At 50.8% G+C, this 18058-nt stretch overlaps 1 protein-coding gene and 1 long non-coding RNA gene across 13 annotated transcripts in view, besides 6 other annotated features; one reads left to right on the top strand and one right to left on the bottom strand.

Moving 5' to 3' along the window:
- The window catches only part of MPRIP (myosin phosphatase Rho interacting protein), a 150187-nt gene extending 147420 nt beyond the window's left edge, over positions 1-2767 (bottom strand). For all 12 annotated transcript variants that reach the window (NM_001364716.4, XM_011523764.3, XM_011523766.3 and 9 more), the window contains exon 1: positions 2253-2767. In NM_001364716.4, the coding sequence (NP_001351645.2) occupies positions 2253-2375 (123 nt within the window). In that variant the 5' untranslated portion in view covers positions 2376-2767. The remainder of the gene's footprint in view (positions 1-2252) is intronic.
- Positions 775-1069: a silencer, noted in NCBI's record as "tiled region #13867; HepG2 Repressive non-DNase unmatched - State 2:TssF". NCBI's record gives its function as "represses a minimal TATA promoter and a strong SV40 promoter by Sharpr-MPRA in HepG2 cells {active_cell/tissue: HepG2}" and the evidence as "EXISTENCE:reporter gene assay evidence [ECO:0000049][PMID:27701403]".
- Positions 775-2080: a biological region, named in NCBI's record as "P300/CBP strongly-dependent group 1 enhancer GRCh37_chr17:16946458-16947657".
- Positions 881-2080: an enhancer, noted in NCBI's record as "P300/CBP strongly-dependent group 1 enhancer chr17:16946458-16947657 (GRCh37/hg19 assembly coordinates)". NCBI's record gives its function as "activates an origin of replication core promoter dependent on BRD2, BRD4, P300/CBP, MED14 and CDK7 cofactors, with strong dependence on P300/CBP, by STARR-seq in HCT116 cells {active_cell/tissue: HCT116}" and the evidence as "EXISTENCE:reporter gene assay evidence [ECO:0000049][PMID:35650434]".
- Positions 2743-3202: a silencer, noted in NCBI's record as "silent region_8233". NCBI's record gives its function as "represses an Ori minimal core promoter by ATAC-STARR-seq in GM12878 lymphoblastoid cells {active_cell/tissue: GM12878}" and the evidence as "EXISTENCE:reporter gene assay evidence [ECO:0000049][PMID:35858748]".
- LOC124903938 (uncharacterized) lies at positions 2899-5881 on the top strand. The gene is made up of 3 exons (XR_007065644.1): positions 2899-2953; positions 3316-3443; positions 5467-5881. It is a non-coding gene; the product is annotated as an uncharacterized LOC124903938 (long non-coding RNA).
- Positions 8565-8624: an enhancer, noted in NCBI's record as "active region_11786". NCBI's record gives its function as "activates an Ori minimal core promoter by ATAC-STARR-seq in GM12878 lymphoblastoid cells {active_cell/tissue: GM12878}" and the evidence as "EXISTENCE:reporter gene assay evidence [ECO:0000049][PMID:35858748]".
- Positions 15286-15860: an enhancer, noted in NCBI's record as "H3K4me1 hESC enhancer chr17:16932678-16933252 (GRCh37/hg19 assembly coordinates)". NCBI's record gives its function as "activates a minimal SCP1, AML or CMV promoter by ChIP-STARR-seq in naive and primed H9 embryonic stem cells {active_cell/tissue: H9 hESC(naive and primed)}" and the evidence as "EXISTENCE:reporter gene assay evidence [ECO:0000049][PMID:30033119]".

Raw genomic sequence — 18058 nt, 5'->3', positions numbered from 1 at the left:
TGGGCCCAGTATCCTCTCCTCTTAAGGAGGGAGTGGCCTCGATGGTGGCTGATGTATCTTCCAGCTTTGACGGTCTAAAATAAGCTCCAGGCTGGGAGGGGCAGCAGGAAGCAGGGGCTTGGGGGAGACTGATGGGAACCGATTGGTTGAGGTTTTCTAATGGAGCCATAAGGATGAGAGTGAGAGGGAGGGCCGGATGCAGAGAGCAGCAGAGAAGGCTGTTGGCAACAGCCCTGAGTCTCCCTCCTCTCTTTTCAAGAGCAGTTTCTTCCTGAAAGATCCCAGGAGGTAGAATGCTGGGCTAACCTCTCCCAGCACAAATAACCCCACTCATTATTTCAGAAACTACCATTCCAGTTGTGCCCTGAAGGTCTCAGGCCTGTTTCAAAACCCACAATTCAACTTTGAATACAGTGAGAGTACAGTATTTTAAGTTTGCCTCTCCCCGTGAATCCAATTAATAATCAACAGATTAAAAAAAATCTTAGCAGATTGGACTCAAACATGCAGATTCCATCCTAGTTTATCTAAGCTTAAGAATTCGAAAACAGCCCCTATGAGGTGTAAATTTACCAATTTTGACAGTTGCTTAGAATAACCAGGAAACTTACAAACCTCTCTCAGAACAACCCTTGCCCAGAAACTTCTTAAAGTGGCAGGTTTTTTTGGTTTGTTAAATTGTAAGAGAAAAAAGTTTCATAAAATATCATTTCTTGCTTTTCACAAATGCTCAGTGAAGGAGGTAAGCCAGGGACCAGGATTCCCAATTTACAGATAAGGAAATTAAAAGATACAGAAGTAAAGGGATTTGTTCAAGGTCACACAGCTGGAAGTGACAGCCAAGACCTGAAGCAAAGTCTCCTAACAACTCCTCATCGCATAAACTGTTTCATCCAAAAAAGCATCCAGATGAGAAGAAGGAATCAAGTTCTCCTTTACACTCCAAAACACCCTCCGAGGTAAATGAGTTCTATCCGTCCCAAGCTGACCGTCCTTAAAACCCTTGGTATCTTAACCATCTATGACTTTGCAGCCTTGAGTGTTTCGTTAAGCTTTTGGGGTTTAGATGAAAGGAATCTTTTCCTGGCAGTTGGAAACCTGACCTCAGAGAAAGGCCCCGTGCCCCAGGCCGTAACCCCTGCCCCACCACCCTACTCCAGTCGGCCATGTAAACAAGTCAAACCCTGGGTGCACTGAAGTGGCATTAAAAACAACCAGGCCCGTTCACTCGTTTTCAGTCTAAGGGGTTCTTCTGCGACAGGAGTGGCTACAACTAGGTCACACTGGACTGGAATGTGAAGGGACTTCCCCTGGCTTCATTCAGGAGGCTGAGAGAAAGCTCTGAAGAGGATGGAGATGATGGCCGTGGGGAGGGTACCGAGGCACATCCCAAGGAGGTGCACACAAGGCTCGGAATCCTGGAACACTAGGAGTTCAAACAGCAATCACTGCAGGGGTTCCCAAGGGCCATGGGGGCTGCAGCCAAGCCTCTTGGAGCCTTTCATCAATACAAATTCCCCATCTCCCCAGTCACTCCAGGGCGGGGGCCCCAGAACTCTGTGTTTAATGGCTATGACTCTAATGCACGTTTGGGAGTCATAACTAGTTCAAAGCCCTGTTTGACAGTTAAGGCTGGGAGACAGAAATCAACTTTCCCGAGGACCCACAGGTCTCCTCACCCCTCGGCCAGTGACCAGGGAACTGGTCCCAGCTCCCCGCTAAACTACGGCCTGCCAAACTAAGTTCAAGAACAAGACCCTCCTCGCCAGATTTGGACACCCCTTCACCTCTCTCCAGTGCTTGACAGTGACGATGATTCAGAATCGGGGCAGGCTGCGTCCCACTAGACGGAAGCCCACAGTCCTCCCCAACAATCCGACCCCTGGGCCACTCTGGCTGGACAAATCCAAGTCCAGTCCCAAGCCAGAATCTCAGGGGGGTCCCGTCAAGCGGCATGCAATCCCTAAGCGCTTTGTTCCTACTAAGCGAAACCAGGCACTTTTGAGTCACCCAAAAAGCATGAATCACACAGCCGGGCAATGGGAACGGGAAAGGATGTTATTTTTCGGCATACTCGAGGATTTTCCCTTTGTCCCAGCTCTGTCAATGCACTTCCCGTCCCCGTCCCCATGCCCCAGGACTCGCGCATTTCCCTGCTCCATTTTTATTTTCCCTGCAGCCCTTGGCGGCGCCCCGGCCGCCGACCCGCGGCTCCCAGAACGGAGGTGTCCGGGCCGGCCCCAGTCGCTCACCTGCGTCAGGTCCTCGTCGTTGAGCAGATGCGACTCGCGGGGCTTGAAGCAGTTCTGACACTTGCTCTTGTTGAAGATGTTGGCCTGGAATTTCCTGCACGGGTTCTCCTTGGCTGCCGACATGGTCGGCGCGGCGGCGACGGCGGCGGCGGCGGCGGCGCAGGCCTGGCCGGCCTGGCGCTCCCGGCGGGCTAGGGGCTCAGCGCGGCCGCGCCGCATCCCTCGCCGGCCCCGCCGCAGGCCCGGCCCGGCCTCCTTCCCGGCGGGCGGTTCGCTGCACGCGCCGAGGCTCCTGAGCCGCCCGGGCCTCACAGCGCGCGCGACGCCCAGCTCCCGCCCGCACCGCCGCCGCCCGGCCGCCGCGGGCCCATGGACGCGGCCTCGGGCCCGCTGCTTCCCGCTGCGGCCCGCCTCTCAGGCTCCGGTCGCCGCCGTCCCGGCTCGTCCGCGCCGCCGCAGCTGCCCTCGGCGCCCCGCGGCCGCTGCAAATGGGACCGGAGCGCCTCACGCACTACGGGGGCGGGCGGGCGGGCGGGCGGGCGGGCGGCCGGGCGCGGGGAGGTGCCGGGGCGTACGGGGCGGGGCCGCGCCCGACGCGATCGGCAGCCCCACCGGCCAATGGGGTTGGCGCGCTCTCGCTAACAAAGGAACCTCTGGGCCAATGGCAGTCGGGGGCGGGACCGAGGGCCGCCGAGCGCAAGGTAAGTTGTGCAGGCCGGGAAGGTGGGGGCGCCGGCATGGGACGTTCAGGTTTGGTGGACTGGCGCCGAGGCCGGCCGGGCTGACAGCTGCAGGGCCCGGGCGGGGGATGCGGGGGAAGGCGGAGCCGACCTCAGGCTGCCTCTCTGCAACCCCCTCGCTCCCAGGCTCGCCTTCCCGCGCCCACGCTGTACACCCAACGGAGGCATCTTCCCCAAGCCCAGCTCGGAGAGGATTAGTTTAGCACCTACTGTGTACCAGGCCCCCTCGTAGGAGTCAGTTAGCGTCGGGAAGGGCTGGATACTCCAAGGGCTCGCTCATTAAAGGTTCGCAACCTCTCCTTTCTCATCCCCATTTTACATAGGAGGAGACTGAGGAGCAGAGAAGTAACAGCGGGTAGTATTTCAAGGGATGACTAAGAGAAGATGTCAGCGGACTTGAAGAGCTGTCAGCTCCATTAGGGGAGATGAGCGAAGGCTGACTCTCTGCCAGGTGCTGAGCTAGGCATTCTTTCCCCCATGATGTGCTTGAGGAAATGAAGGGTCAGACACCTGGAGTAATTTGTGTAGGATCACTCTGCTAGGAAGGGGCCGAGCTGTCACTCCCGTCCTCCATTGTCCAGCCTCCTGGCCAAAAGACAACCTGGAAAAGGCTGTCAAAGGCTCAGGCAGAAGGTTGCAGGAGCCCAGAGAGGGGAGAAATGCGCTCTTTAGAAAAATTCGGGTGGCTTCAAGGAGGAGGGGAAGTTTAAGTGGACAGTGAGAGGGTTGAGTGTGGCTGGAAGTGGAGATAGGGGAAGAAGGAGCAAGAGGGATTGGAAGAGGGCTCTATCACCCAGGCCTTGTATTCCAAGCCCAGGCGTGCACATGTCATCCCACTGGCAGCTGGGAGTCATGGTGAGTCTTTAAACAGGGGGGTGAGCTAACCCAGCCTTCACGGAGGAGGTGACATTGGAGCATGTGGTAGTGGCAGCCACAGCAGCTGTCGCTCAGGGAATGGAGGAGGTTTTAGGAGGAGAAGTAGCAAATGCTTCCAGAGCTGTGTACTTTTCCACGGATCATCTGGTAAATATCCCAGGGAGGTGGATTTCAACTTAGTGTAAGAAAATGCTTTTCCTCAAAAGGGAGCTGTGGGAAGGCAGATCAAAGTCCTTTGGCAGCCTAAGGGGGAAAGCCCAGCTCCACCAGGCAGGAGCTCTGTGGCCTCGGGCAAGTCCCTTAACCTGCCTGGTGCCTCAGTGACCTCATGTACAAAATTGGCATTAATTAATTAATGTGAACATTAAATGATATAATGCTTGTTAAGTAGCATAATGTTAATTGGTGAATCTAGGCAAAAGGTGTTTATTGTACTATTCTTTTTTTTTTTTTTTTTTTTTTTTTTTTTTGAGACGGAGTCTCGCTCTGTCGCCCAGGCTGGAGTGCAGTGGCGGGATCTCGGCTCACTGCAAGCTCCGCCTCCCGGGTTCACACCATTCTCCTGCCTCAGCCTCCCGAGTAGCTGGGACTACAGGCGCCCGCCACTACGCCCGGCTAATTTTTTGTATTTTTAGTAGAGACGGGGTTTCACCGTTTTAGCCGGGATGGTCTCGATCTCCTGACCTCGTGATCCGCCCGCCTCGGCCTCCCAAAGTGCTGGGATTACAGGCGTGAGCCACCGCGCCCGGCCTTATTGTACTATTCTTGCAACTTTTCTGTTGCTTTAAATTTTTGCAAAATAAAAAAGGGACGGAAGACTGACAATTCTGCCCTGCAGAGAATACTCAGAAACTGATAGAAGAGGTGGCCACTGGGGAGGGGAGCTGGGTGGTTGAGAGGTGACCTACTTTTAATTTTCATTGCAATCCCTTTTGTTTCTGCTGAATTTAGTATTGTCTGCATGTACAACTTGTTTAAAAATATATATATACATACATATATATATATATATATATATATATTTTCTTTCTTGATGTCCTGCCCATTCCTCAAGGCCACCTCCCTTAAAGTGCTCAGCATGTTCTGCTCAGGTCAGTAGGCACATCCAGCACCTGCACTGGACTGGAGGGGTCCACAGTAGGGGCGCAAAGAAGAGTTTCATTCAGCAACTCAGAGGCAGCCTGCCCGGCAGGAGCCCACACTCAAGCAAGTGGAGACAAACAGAAACAGGAGACAGAGAAGTTCAATCCGGGGTGTTGTGGGGGCCCACACAGGGGCACCCAGCCCCGTAGGCAGCTTCAGGGAAGGCTCCTGGAGGAGGCAATGCCTAGGCCGAGTCTGGAGCTGAGTAAGACCCAGCCAGAGAAGGTGAAGGGAAAGACACGTCAAACTGGGGCACCAATTATAGAGTCTCAGGCCTTGAAACCAAAGGGTGTGTTCATGAACAGAAGCAGCTTTCTATCACTGGGTAGTTCAGAGAGGCAGGAGTGACCAGCATTGAGAGGCACTGGGAGGAGTAGTGGATGGTGCAAGCCTAGCCTCTTCAGGGAGACAGGTATGGTTTTTGTTGTTAATACTATTTCATCTCCATTTTATAGAAGACACACACGAGGCTCAGGACATATCAGGAACTTGCCTGTGGTCACAATTATAGATCCTACAAGTGAAGATTTGAGCCCACACAGGCCAGCACCGGAGCTGCCTGGGCCAGGGGCAGTCATCAATTTTGAATTTTTTTCGGCTGAGCACTTAGGTAAGGGCTGCTGATCTGGAGAATGAATCAGGGGCAAGGACTGAGAGAGCTGCAGAGGAGAGAGGGTAGCAGCCTGACTAGGATAGGGTCAGTGGGAGGCAAGGGAATGAATTTGGAAAATGTTTAGGAGGTAGAATCAATTAGTTGCGCTCCTCTCCAAAACCCTCACGGTAGAGTGGGGTCTTGGTTGCTACTCCATTTCCCCTGTCTAGTTCAGTGCCTGGCATAGAGCAGGGGCTCAAAAACACCCCATGGGGGTGCAGTGGCTCACACCTGTAGTCCCAGCACTTTGGGAGGCCGAGGCGGGCGGATCATGAGATCAGGAGTTCGAGACCATCCTGGCTAACACAGTGAAACCCTGTCTCTACTAAATATACAAAAAATTAGCCAGGCTTGGTGGCAGGCGCCTGTAGTCCCAGCTACTAGGGAGGCTGAGGCAGGATAATGGCATGAACCCGGGAGGCGGAGCTTGCAGTGAGCCGAGATCGTGCCACTGCACTCCAGCCTGGGCGACAGAGTGAGACTCTGTCTCAAAAAACAAAACAAACAAGAAAAACACCCCATGGGTGAATGGATGAAAAGTCATCGTTCCACCTTGTATTGTAATATCTCCTCCACCAGATTATGAAATCCATACCGACACAGTCTGTGTCTCATAACCTTGGCTTCCCTTTCCAGGGGCCTAGAACAGCACTTTGCATGAAGTTCAATACTCAGTGTAAACATGTAAAGATTCACTGGGCTGTATGCTTTTTTCACTGCATTGTGTACACCTCAATGTATATTGTTTATCTCAAAAAAGCAAATAAGCAAGCAAGCAAGAAAAGGCCGCTCAGGTGAGCCCCAAATGCAGGTAAGTCTTGATTTGTGGCTCTGACTGCCATCCTGGGAAGTTTTCCCTGTGTCCTGTTAGGGAGCAGAATTTACACACAGATACCCAGAGGTAACCACTATTTTGATCTCCATCACCATAGATGAGTGGAATCCGCTGCGAGCTATGCCTGGCTCTTCTCATTCAACAGTATGCCTGTGAAATTCAATCCACACGGCTACTGTATATATCAGTACTTCATTCTTTTTCATTGCTGCCTGGTAGTCCCTTGTGTGGAAATACTACAATTTATCTGTCCATGTTCCCGTGGATAGACATTCAGGATGTTTCCAGTTTGGGGCCATTATGAATAATGCTACGAGTATCTTCGTGCTTGTCTTTGGTGGACATAAGCACTTCTTTCTTTTTTTTTTTTTTTTTTGTTTGAGATGGAGTCTCGCTCTTTCGCCCAGGCTGGAGTGCAGTGGCACGATCTTGGCTCACTGCAAGCTCCGCCTCCTGGGTTCAGGCCATTCTCCTGCCTCAGCCTTCTGAGTAGCTGGGACTACAGGCACTCGCCATCACGCCCGGCTAATTTTTTTTGTATTTTTTTAGTAGAGACGGGGTTTCACTGTGTGAGGATGGTCTCGATCTCCTGACCTCGTGATCTGCCTGCCTCGGCCTCCCAAAGTGCTGGGATTACAGGCATGAGCCACCGCGCCCGGCCAAGCACTTATTTCTATTGGGAATACCCAAGACTAGGGATGGCTAAGTTTTGGGAAGTGAATGTTTAACCTGATGGGAAACTGCCAAGCAGTTCTCCACACCTGAGAGCTGGGCTCTCATCTCGCCCTTTTTCTGCTAATCATTGATAATAAAATTCATCTGGAGGAATGTGTGAATGCTACAGGTTTCCAGGGCCTCCCATGGAATTGTGTATCTGTTGGAGTGCACGAATCTATTTTGTCATTGCTATTGAGACAGGGTCTTACTCTGTCGCCCAGGAGTGCAGTGGTGTGATCTGGGCTCACTGCAGCTTTGACCTCCCAGGCCCAAGTGATCCTCCTACCTCAGCTTCCCAAGTAGCTGGGACTACAGGAGTGTGCCACCTTGCTTGCTAATTTTCCTGTAGAGACAGGGTCTCACTATGTTGCCCAGGCTGGTCTCGAACTCCTGGGCTCAAGAGATCCTCCTGCTTCAGCCTTCCAAAGTGCTGGGATTACAGATATGAGTCACTGTGCCCAGCCGAAGAATCTGTTTTTAAAATATTTCTGCTAGGCAAGTTTTGGAAATAGTGGGTGGAGCTGTGGTTCTCAAATCCTGGAGGATTAAAAAAATTCCTACTCTGGAGGCTGGGCGCGGTGGCTCAGGCCTGTAATCCCAGCACTTTGGGAGGCCGAGGCAGGTGGATCACTTGAGGCCAGGAGTTCGAGACCAGCTTGGCCAACATGGCAAAACTCATCTCTACTAAAAATACAAAAATTAGCTAGGCATCATGGTGCAGGCCAGTAATCCCAGCTACTAGGGTGGCTTGAACCTGGGAGACAGAGGTTGCAGTAAGCCGAGATTGTGCCACAGTGCTACTACAGCCTGAGTGACAGAGCTAGACTCTGTCTCAGAAAAAAAAAAAAAAAAGGATTCCTATTCTGGTCCATTTCCAGATATTCTGATTTAATTGGTGTCTGTAAAGGCTACTTGGAGGATTCTCATAACCACACAGGAGTTGGAACCACTGGATAAAGGAGGGTGGAAAGGCGAAGGCTCTGGTGTGGTGTGTCTCAGCCAGCTATTGCTGCAGAACCACCCCACCCCACAAAGCAGAGTGGCTTGAGCACTATTTTCTTGTCTCTCTGGTTCTGAGAGTGGACTGGGCTCTGCCCGGCAGTCCTGCTGGTCTTGCTTGCTGTAAGTGTGGCTGCATGGTAGCTGGGTGAGGTCACTGGAGGCTGGACTGAGACAGGGCTGGCTGGACCTTCGTCCTTTCCTTGCAGCCTCAGAGCCTCTCCTTTCCCCATGGCTTCCCCTTCTGCTCTGCGTGCAGCACCTCAGTGTTCCCCAGAGCAAAGAAGCAGAAGTACCCATCCTCCTTAATGCCAGGCCTGGCACTCGACCGCATGCCATTAGTCAGCACACGGCACAGGATGTCCCAGACTCGAGGTGGGGGGCCCACAGAGGCGTCAGCCCCAGGAGACGTGGTTCACTGGGGCCACCATTGAGACTAGCTACCATAAATAGTAGCCATGTCATACGAGTATTGTGAGGACTAAAGAAATTTATATATGTGACGTGCTTAGAACAGTCCCTGAAACACGGTGTGAGCTCAAGAACTATCAGCATGTATTAGTATGCCTATAACCCCTATGCCAGGGGTTGGCAGATTTTTTCTGTAAAGGGCCAGATACTAAATATTTTAGCCTTGTCAGGCCATATGGTCTCTGTCGAAACTACTCAGCTTTGATATTGTCAAGTGCAAGCATCCATAGACATTACATAATGAAGGGGCGCAGCTGTGTTACAATCAAACTTTATTTAAGTAGTAAGTGGCGGGCTGGATTAGGCTGTTTCTTGGGTCCCCTCTTTTCCTGTTGCTCGGGCCTCCCTCTCCTGGACAGTCTCTCTGAAATGTTGGTCTCCCTGTCCCAGACAGCACCTGTCAGCATTCAAGAATTCACAACCATCGAGCACTGACAGTGTGCCAGGCTGTGTGCCGTGTGCTGGGCATTCGTCACGTCGAATCTCACTAAGTCCAGCTGTCATCATTTGAAATTAGCTCTGGCAGCGCTGGTGGTGTCTGATGGGAGTCCTTAGTGCCCACCCCCCATCATCCATCAATCCCCTGAAAGCCACCCCAAATAAATATATACTTTGTTAATGTAGCTTCAAGAAAAATCTCCTAACCCCTTTCCAGTTGCCACCCCAGAATTAGTATTATCCTCAGCTTACAGATGAGAAAACTGAGGCACGGACAAGGCAAGTATTCAAGGTCATACAACAGTAAATGGTAAGCCTGGGATTCAGACATGGGCAGTATCTTCGTGAGCACTGCTCTACACAACCTCCAGCCCAGGGAGCTGCACGTGGCCCTGACAGCATCGGGGGCTGGGCCCCACCCTTCCCTGGAAGCAAGACCACAAGATCTCGGAGGCCCTTTCCAGCTGTGACGCCATGAGGCTTTTCTACAGCAGGCACCAAATGACAATAGTCTCCAGATGTGCACTAGGAGAGAATGTAGTGCACTTGACACAGAAAGTCCACCAGAAGGGCAAGTTGGACATGTTATTTAAATTTTAAGTCTGTGACCACTTTGACATAGTGATTCCACTTCTAGAAAGATAGGTTGTAAAATTGCTCACACAGGTACACAGATATTATGTACAAGGATGTTCATTCCATCATTGTTCTTAATAGCAAAAATTGGAGATACTCCAATTGTCTATCATTAGAGGATCGGATGAATAAATTATGGCTCTTTGATACAGGGGAGTACCATGGGGCTAGTTGTTAAAGACTGAGATAGTGTTGACGTGGCCATCCATCTCAAAATATGGTGAAGTGAAAAGCTGTTGGAGAAATGGTGTGCATTGTAGTAGCTCATCCTTGTTTTAAGAGTGTGTGTGTTAGCAATATTCACAGTTAGTGTTTACATGGAGAAGGTCAGGGGCACATACACCTAACCGTTCATTGCAGTTAACCCTGGGAGGTGAAAGAATGGGGACTCACACTTAAGCTAGAGATTTATATCATGTTTAAAATTTTTAATAAAAGCTTTTGTTTTCTTACTAATATAGAGAAAATCATATAATGAAGGTGGATGTATCCATTACCCAGCTTCCATATCAACTCAGGACAAGTCTTGTTTCAACCATACTCCCTCATCTACTGTGTGTGTCTGTAAAAGATAAGAACTATTTTCAAAAAGTAGCCACAATACCATTATCATACCTAAAAAAACAATAATTCTTTAATATCATTAAATGCCCAGTGAGTGATTTCCAGTTATCTCCTAAAAACAGAAATTATTTTTGTAATAAGAAAAAAAAGGCTGAAAAAGATAAAATTGTCAATCCAAAGAGCAGATTAGTACAAGTTTCCTGGAGCTTTGTTTAGTGATACTTATCAAGAGCCTTAACAATGTGCTTACCTTTTGCCCTAGTAATCCCAACCTGTGAATTTATTCTAAGAAGAAAAAAGAACATTGAAGAGGTATACAAACATTGTTCACTAGAGTGTGCAGTGTCTGTTACAGAGAAGTTGTTTGAAAACTATTTGTTGAGGCCAGATGTGGTGGCTTACATCTGTAATACTAGTACTTTGGGAGACTGAGGCAGGAGGATTGCTTGAGGCCAGGAGTTCCAGACCAGCCTGAGCAACATAGCAATACCCCATCTCTACAAAAACATTTTTTAAAAATTAGCCAGGCATGGTGGCTCATGCCCATAATTCTAACTACTTGGGAGGCCAAGACAGGAGGGTTGCTTGAACCTAGGATTTCAAGGCTATAGTGAGCTGTGATCACATCACTAAAACTCCAGCCTGGATGACAGAGCAAGACCCTATCTCAAAAGAAAAAAAAACAAACCACAATTTTTTTTGAATTTGAAGTTGAGCTCCTGCTGTGGTTTGCAGCTTTGTTTGTAAAAGAAAAGCTGAAAGTCATGGAAGTGTGTGACATTAGGGTACTGGCTAAATAAATGAGGGCAGATCCATAAAATGAAACATTGTTCTGTCATGTAAAATCAGATTCTAATAATACACATAGATAACCACCGCTTCCAAGAGGCAGAACTTCATCCTCATCCTCTAATGGACTATGGAAAGAAGAAAAACAGTCCTTTTACAGTGAAGAAACTCAGCAGATGCTCCCTCAACATCGCTGGTGGTAAGTCTTGTGGCTACTGGGTACCCCCTGATACAATGACAGGGGCACCTCACCTCTGTGATCTTTTACCCAAAAACTAATAACCTCAGTCTCATGAGAAAAACATCAGACAAACTCAGATGAGGGGCATTCTACAAAATACGTGAGCAGCACTCTTCGAATGTGTCAAGGTCGTGAAAAACAAGAAAAGACTCAGAACTGTTAGGGACCAGAGGAGCCTCAGGAGATGACGGAGACTGAATGCCATGTGGGATGCCGGATGAGATCATGGAACAGAAAAAGGGCATTAGTGGGAAACTGGCGAAATCCTAATAGAGTCTGTCGTCCAGCTAATAATGTTTTACTAATGTTAACTTTTTAGTTTTGACAAATGTAGCATGATTATGTAAGATGTTCACATTAGGGGAAGGTGGGGGAAGAGTATGGGAACTTTGTGGAACTTTGCTGTAAATCTAAAATCACTAAACAAAAATTATTCAAAAAATCAGGGTGTAGATATTTATTAGTATAGAAATGTATTCACAACATATTAAGGGGAAAGTATGTATGGCCTCACATAGTTTTTGCTGAATGAGACCGTATTTGTAAAAACTCTAATAACAAGGTGTATGTCTACATGAATGTGTATATATGCACATGTAGGCTGGGCACGGTGGCTCATGCCTGTAATCCCAGCACTTTGGGAGGCCAGGGTGGGCGGATCACCTGAGGTTAGGAGTTCGAGACCAGCCTGGCCAACATGGTGAAACCCCATCTCTACTAAAGATACAAAAAAATTAGCCAGGCATGGCGGTGTGCGCCTATAATCCCAGCTACTCGGGGGGCTGAGGTAGGACAATCTCTTGAACCGGGGAGGTAGAGGTTGCAGTGAGCTGAGATGGCGCCACTGCACTCCAGCCTGGGTGACAGAGCAAGACTTCATCTTAAAAAATTATATATATATATATATATATATATATATATATGTATATATATATAATGTACATGTGCATACACACAGGGACACAGGGCTGCATATGTATGCGTATGTGCGTATCTAGCCATTCATGAACAATGTTTGTGTACTTTTTAAATTTTTTTTTTCTTAGGATAAATTCATGGGTTGGGATTGCTAAGTCAAAAGATAAACACATTGGTAAGGCTCTTGATAAGTATCACTAAACAAAGAGCCAAGAAAGTTGTAGTAATCTGCTCTCTGGATTGACATGTTTTTCTTTTTCAGGACATGCAGGGAAGCATGTAGTTCCAGGGTTGCACACTCAGAGGCCTCTAGGGCCAGGCAGGTGGCAGCAGTGGCCTCAGTGATCTGGGGTGTCCATGCTCCTACAACAGGCAGCAGCTCCATGGCCTCGGTCGTAGCCGTCTGTCCTACAGGATTTGGGCCTGGTCGTGATCGATCTTTTAATTTTCCAAAAGAAATCAGAAATCGAGGTTGTTACACAAATTGTCAGGGCCTACTCAGCTGTGGGGAGGGGGCCTTCAGGGTCCCACAGCCAAGAAGAAGAGGCCTGGGACTCAAGAGGCAGGCAACACAGGCCACAGGCTGGGCTGTCCCTGCCCTGGCCCCACCATCTGCACCAAGCCTGGAGGACGGCCAGCTGGCCGGGGCAGGGAGAGGCGGCAGCTCTTCCGGCCTGCGTGCCTGCGTGTGGCCAGGCTGGGGAGTGGAGGTTTGCTCAGAGTCCACAGGAATGGGGGCTGACACTTCTAGTTCACCATATCACTTCAGGGGCTGTGACTCGTGGGTGTGTGTAAGAGTCATTGATATATCATCTCCTTATGTGTCTGTGTCTGTGCATGTCCAGAGGGTGGTCTGGCTATCTCTGAGGGTGTTTCTGGGAATGACCATGTTATGTGTCTACATGCATGTTGGCCTGTTTATCTGGGGGTCTGACCTGCATCTCTGACTTGTGAATATGTGTGTGAATTGTACAGATGCATCCATCTTTGCATGTCATATGATCTGTGAGATGATGGTACATATTTATGTGTGTTTGTGGGCAACTGGGCTATCTGGCTGGCCCCACTGCATATATATCTGGGCTTCTATGTGATTGTCTGTGAGTGTCATTGTGTGTGTGTATTCTGTCTGATTGAGCTGTATATGTTTGCATGTCTGTTTTATATATGCAGGTCCATGTGTCCATATCTATGTGCATGTTTGGGCTTGGCAAGTTGCCTCATACCTATAATCCCAGCACTTTGGGAGGCTGAGGCAGGAGGATCGCTTGAGGCCAGGAGTTTGAGACCAACCCGGACAGCATGGTGAGACCTCATCTCTACAAAAAAATTAAAAATTAGCTGGGCATGGTGGCACACACCTGTAGGCCCAGCTACTTGAAAGACTGAGGCGGGGGGATCGCTTGAGCCCAGGAAATTGAGGCTGCAGTGAGCTAGGATGGCATGACTGCACTCCAGGCTGGGCGACAGAGTGAGAACTTGTCTCTAAAAATAAAATAAAAATAATAAATAGAATAAGGTAAGTGCAGTCTGTGCCTATGCCTCTGCACAAGTGCGTGTCAGCATGCATAGTTGTGTGTTGTGTCCGGCTGAGTAGGCACATGTGCATGCGTGTGAGTGTTGGATGCTGGGGCAGTCAGGGTTCGAGTCACTGACAGTCAGCACCCACTCCTCACTTCCTCATGCCTGGTTCCTACAGGTCCCCACAAGAAGCATGTAGGGCCCAAGCACCCCCTGCCACCTCTGAACCCCAAGCACAGGCACGAGAAGGTAAGGGTGGCCGACTGCAGGGCCCAGGCTTGGAGGACCCTGGAGCCGACTCCTGGTGCATGTACCACGACTGCCAGCCTGCCTTGGCCTGGCTCCTGGGAAACACTTGCCCTTGGCCAACTGGAGAGCTGTCGATTTGGGACACAGCCCCACAGTGGCCACCACTTTATCCCACCCTCAAATACTTCCTAAGGCCATTTGTTGCTAGGAGACGGGTACAGGCAGCCTGCTTTGATGGCTCTCTAGACACAGGCTCCAGGGACAGGAAGCCTGTCTGGCCCCTTTCCTATGAAGTGGCTGGGGAGACTGGGGGTGGGCATCGGGGATGAAGGATAGACGGGGCAGCTTGGACAGAGTAAGCAGCAGGAAGTCTCAGAGCCTTAGGAGCAGAGGGGCCCTGGTACCCCTTGGTCAGGATGCTGAGCCCAGAGAGGGCAAGATCCTGACTTAGGTCACACAGCAACAATCCCCGGCAGAACTAGCATTCCTTTTGGAGAAATTCAGAGTTCATGGCCCCAGGAGTCATTCATTCACTCATGCATGCATTCATTCATTCATTCATTCATTCATTCATTCATTCAGCAATTACATATTAAGCATCTACTATACGCCAGGCCCACTACTAAGCCCCGGCATACAGCAGTGGAAAAGACGGAGGCAATCCTCACCTCACAAAGCTGATACTCTCGTCAGAGAGACAGAAAACAAGTGAAGTTAAGATCACGTCACTTTGTGCTAAGGGCTAGTAAATAAAATTACACCATGTAGAACATTGGAGTCGCTCTGTCCAAATGGTGGCCACTAGCCCCATGTGGCTATATGAGTTTCAAGTAATTGGAGTAATTGAAAATTAAGAGTCCAGTTCTTCCATTGCAGTAGCCGCATTTCAGGGGCTTGTTAGCCACACGGGGCCGGTAGCTTCTGACAGAGGCTGGTGACAGTGGACAAAGAGCACTTCCATCACAGAAGGAGCTGCCGGACAGGGCTGGTGTGGGGAGTGGACAGAAGGCTGGGGGCCAGATGGCCGAGGACAGCGACATCTAGGCTGTCCTGCTGAGAAGGGGCGGCCACATGGTGATGCACCCGGGGGACAGGACAGCAGGTGCAATGCTGGCCAGGTGGGGATGTGCTTGGTGTGTTCAAGGGACAGAAAGGACAGAGGCAGTGAGGGGAGAGGAGAGAGAGGTGGGGTTGGGGAGGTCAGCGGGGGTCTCTGGGGCCTGGGTAAGGAGTTTCTGCTTTATGTGGAGGGCGTCAGGAAGCCATGGGGGGAGGGGTTAAGCAGGAGAGTGGCATGGTTTTAACAATATATGGAGAATGGATTTGTGGGGGCAAGAGTGGAAGGAAGGAGCCCTAGGGAGGAGGCTGTTGTGTCACAGAGAGGAAGGTGACTGAGACCTGGGTGATATGGGAGTGGGGGTTGGGCAACAGCCATCATAGCCCAAGCCTCAGGGTTATGGATCCAGCTGTGCCTGAAGCTACGGCTTGCTTGACACCCCCTCTACCTCCTTCCTCCTCTTGGTTGCTGGGCACTGACTTGAACACCCCTCATTACTACCACCCACCTATCCCCTCCCTCACAAAACCCCCGACTGTCTCTCCTCCTATCCCTGTGCGGAGCACTCAGACGGGACCTAGGCTTCCCTCAGTGCCCTGGGTCCAGTTTCTTTTGCCGGGCTTTGCCCCTCTCATCGCATCCCAGGGTTGATAAGCTAGCCCTGTCTAGTCACATTGAGGTCCTGGGAAAATACCTTAGGCCACCTGGTGTTTCACTGACTTTCCCCACCAGGACGCTTTCCTGGAGCTGTGAGCAGGATGCAGGAGGAATCAGCTGGCTCTGGGTCTGGGGGGTGGGAGTGACTAAAAGAGAAGGCTCAGCTTCAGTTGCAAAGTCCCCCAGAGGGACTTTGGTTTGTTTACGGGAAGAACTTCCCCTCTATAAAAGGGCCGATGTCATCCTTGTGCATTCGTGCATTCACAGTGGAGGGGATCCCCTAGGACCCTAAAAATGAGGTGGAAAGCCTTCTCCCTAGGGCAGGCGTCCAGAGGCCGGCTCTGCTTCTCAAACGCTGGGCACTCATTCCTCCTCAGGATCTTTGCAGCTGCAGTTCCCTCTGCCTGGAATGCTGTTCCCCTAAGACCCCAGGTGGCGTCTCCATCTGGCTGCCAAGTCTCCTCCTGAGCGATTATGCGGATTACCTGATGAGCACGGCTTCCTCCTTGGAAGCACCTTGTTTTGTCTCCGGTACTAGAACGCCAGCTCCACAAGGGCAGGGCGGTTGTTGATCTTGTTTTTCTCTGTCCCCTCCTGTCTGACACTATGCCTGGCATATGGTGGATGTTCCCAGGAGGTTTCTGGAATGAGCAGATGTCTGGGGTGAGTGTGGGCAGGTGGCTGCCATGCATACAGAGCCTGCCAGGCCCCAGGGGGCTCAGACTCACCCTCTGACTGCACCCTCCCAATGGGGATCAGGACTTTGAGGCTTGGAGAGGTGAGGTCACTCACCCGAGGTTGCACAGGCAGTATGTGGTGGGCCTGGTCTGGAGAGGCCTGGAGGGGACTTGGGGGTGTTGGAGGCTGGGCCACGGCCTGGGGACACACTGCCTTTCCACATGACAGCTCTCCATCCGTCCACAGCCCCTGCTTCCCCTGCCAAGTCGCACCTGGGGCTTCCCTGGCCACCTTGGGTCCTCAGGTACAATTGCACTGCAGGGCACTGGCCTGTGGCACACAGCAGCAGGCCCTGCAGCCCAGATTCACACAGCAAGCGAATGAGGCATAGCTGAAAACCGTGCACATGGTGGCCTCAGTCCACACAGGGTGGACCCAGCCCTGGACAGGCATGTGGCTCCACCCAACACTGAGCAGGCAGCCCTGCCTCCTGAGTGCACCTGCCACGCCCAGGGCTTACGTCAGCTGGGGGGACTGGGGCAGCCTCTCTGAAGAATGCAGCTCATTGTCAGCGATGGGGCAGGATTCCTTCGCAATGGCCACACCCAGAGGCAAGTCTGTCCAGGCGGACAAGGGCAGCTGAGTGAGGCGCCCTAGGAAGTCTGACCCCCTCTGCCCTGTGATGGTCCAGCAGCTCCAGGAAAAAGGACCAGAGTACCCATTGCCACCTGACCTTGCAACCACACACACGTGTGACTTTTATAATGAGAGAAAAAAAAAAACATGTTATAAAAACAACTTCTGTATGACTTGCCCAATGCCAGGATTATTCTAAGCATGGACTCTTTTTTTCATTAATTTTAAAAAAATGTTTGAGATGAGATCGTGTTCTGTCACCCAAGCTGGAGGGCAGTGGTGTGATCATAGCTCACAGTATCTTGGAACGTCCAGACTCAAGGGATCCTCCTGCCTCAGCCTCCTAAAGTTCTGGGATTACAGGTCTGAGCCACCACACCCGGTTTAAGCTCATATCTTGATCCTCACAACAACTGTCTGAGGAGGAAGTATTATCCTTACTCACACTTTGTAGTTGGGGAAACTGAGATCTGGGTAACTGGCCCACGTTCACACAGCCAGGAAGTGGGGGGCCAGGATTCACACCCAGTGTGGCCCAGTGTCCTCCTGGCTCCTGAGCAGCACCGCACACAGCTTTCAGAATCGTGCACACAGCCATCACTCTGGAACCATAGGGTAGGGCTGAGAAAACTGGGCATGAGGGTTGAGTTCCACCTACCCGTCCACACGCCTGGTCCAGAATTTGCTCAAGATCTTTATTGAACAGACGACACCACATACCATGATGGCAAAAAGGCCAGGCTCTGGTTGAATTTCAAGAACAGGCAAAGGCAGGTGTGGCAGCTCACGCTGGTAATCCCAGCACTTTGAGAGGCTGGGGTGAAAGGATCTCCTGAGCCCAGGAGACCAGCCTGGGCAACATGGAAAAACCCTGCCTCTAAAAAAATACAAAGATTAGCTGGGTGTGATTGTGAGCCCCTTGTAGTCCTAGCTACTTGGGAGGCTGAGGTGGGAGGATCACTTGAGCTGGGGAGGTTGAGGCTGCAGTG

This window comes from Homo sapiens, chromosome 17 (assembly GCF_000001405.40).
Source record: "Homo sapiens chromosome 17, GRCh38.p14 Primary Assembly".
NCBI lineage: Eukaryota > Metazoa > Chordata > Mammalia > Primates > Hominidae > Homo > Homo sapiens.
This window is presented reverse-complemented; position numbering and strand designations above follow the sequence as displayed.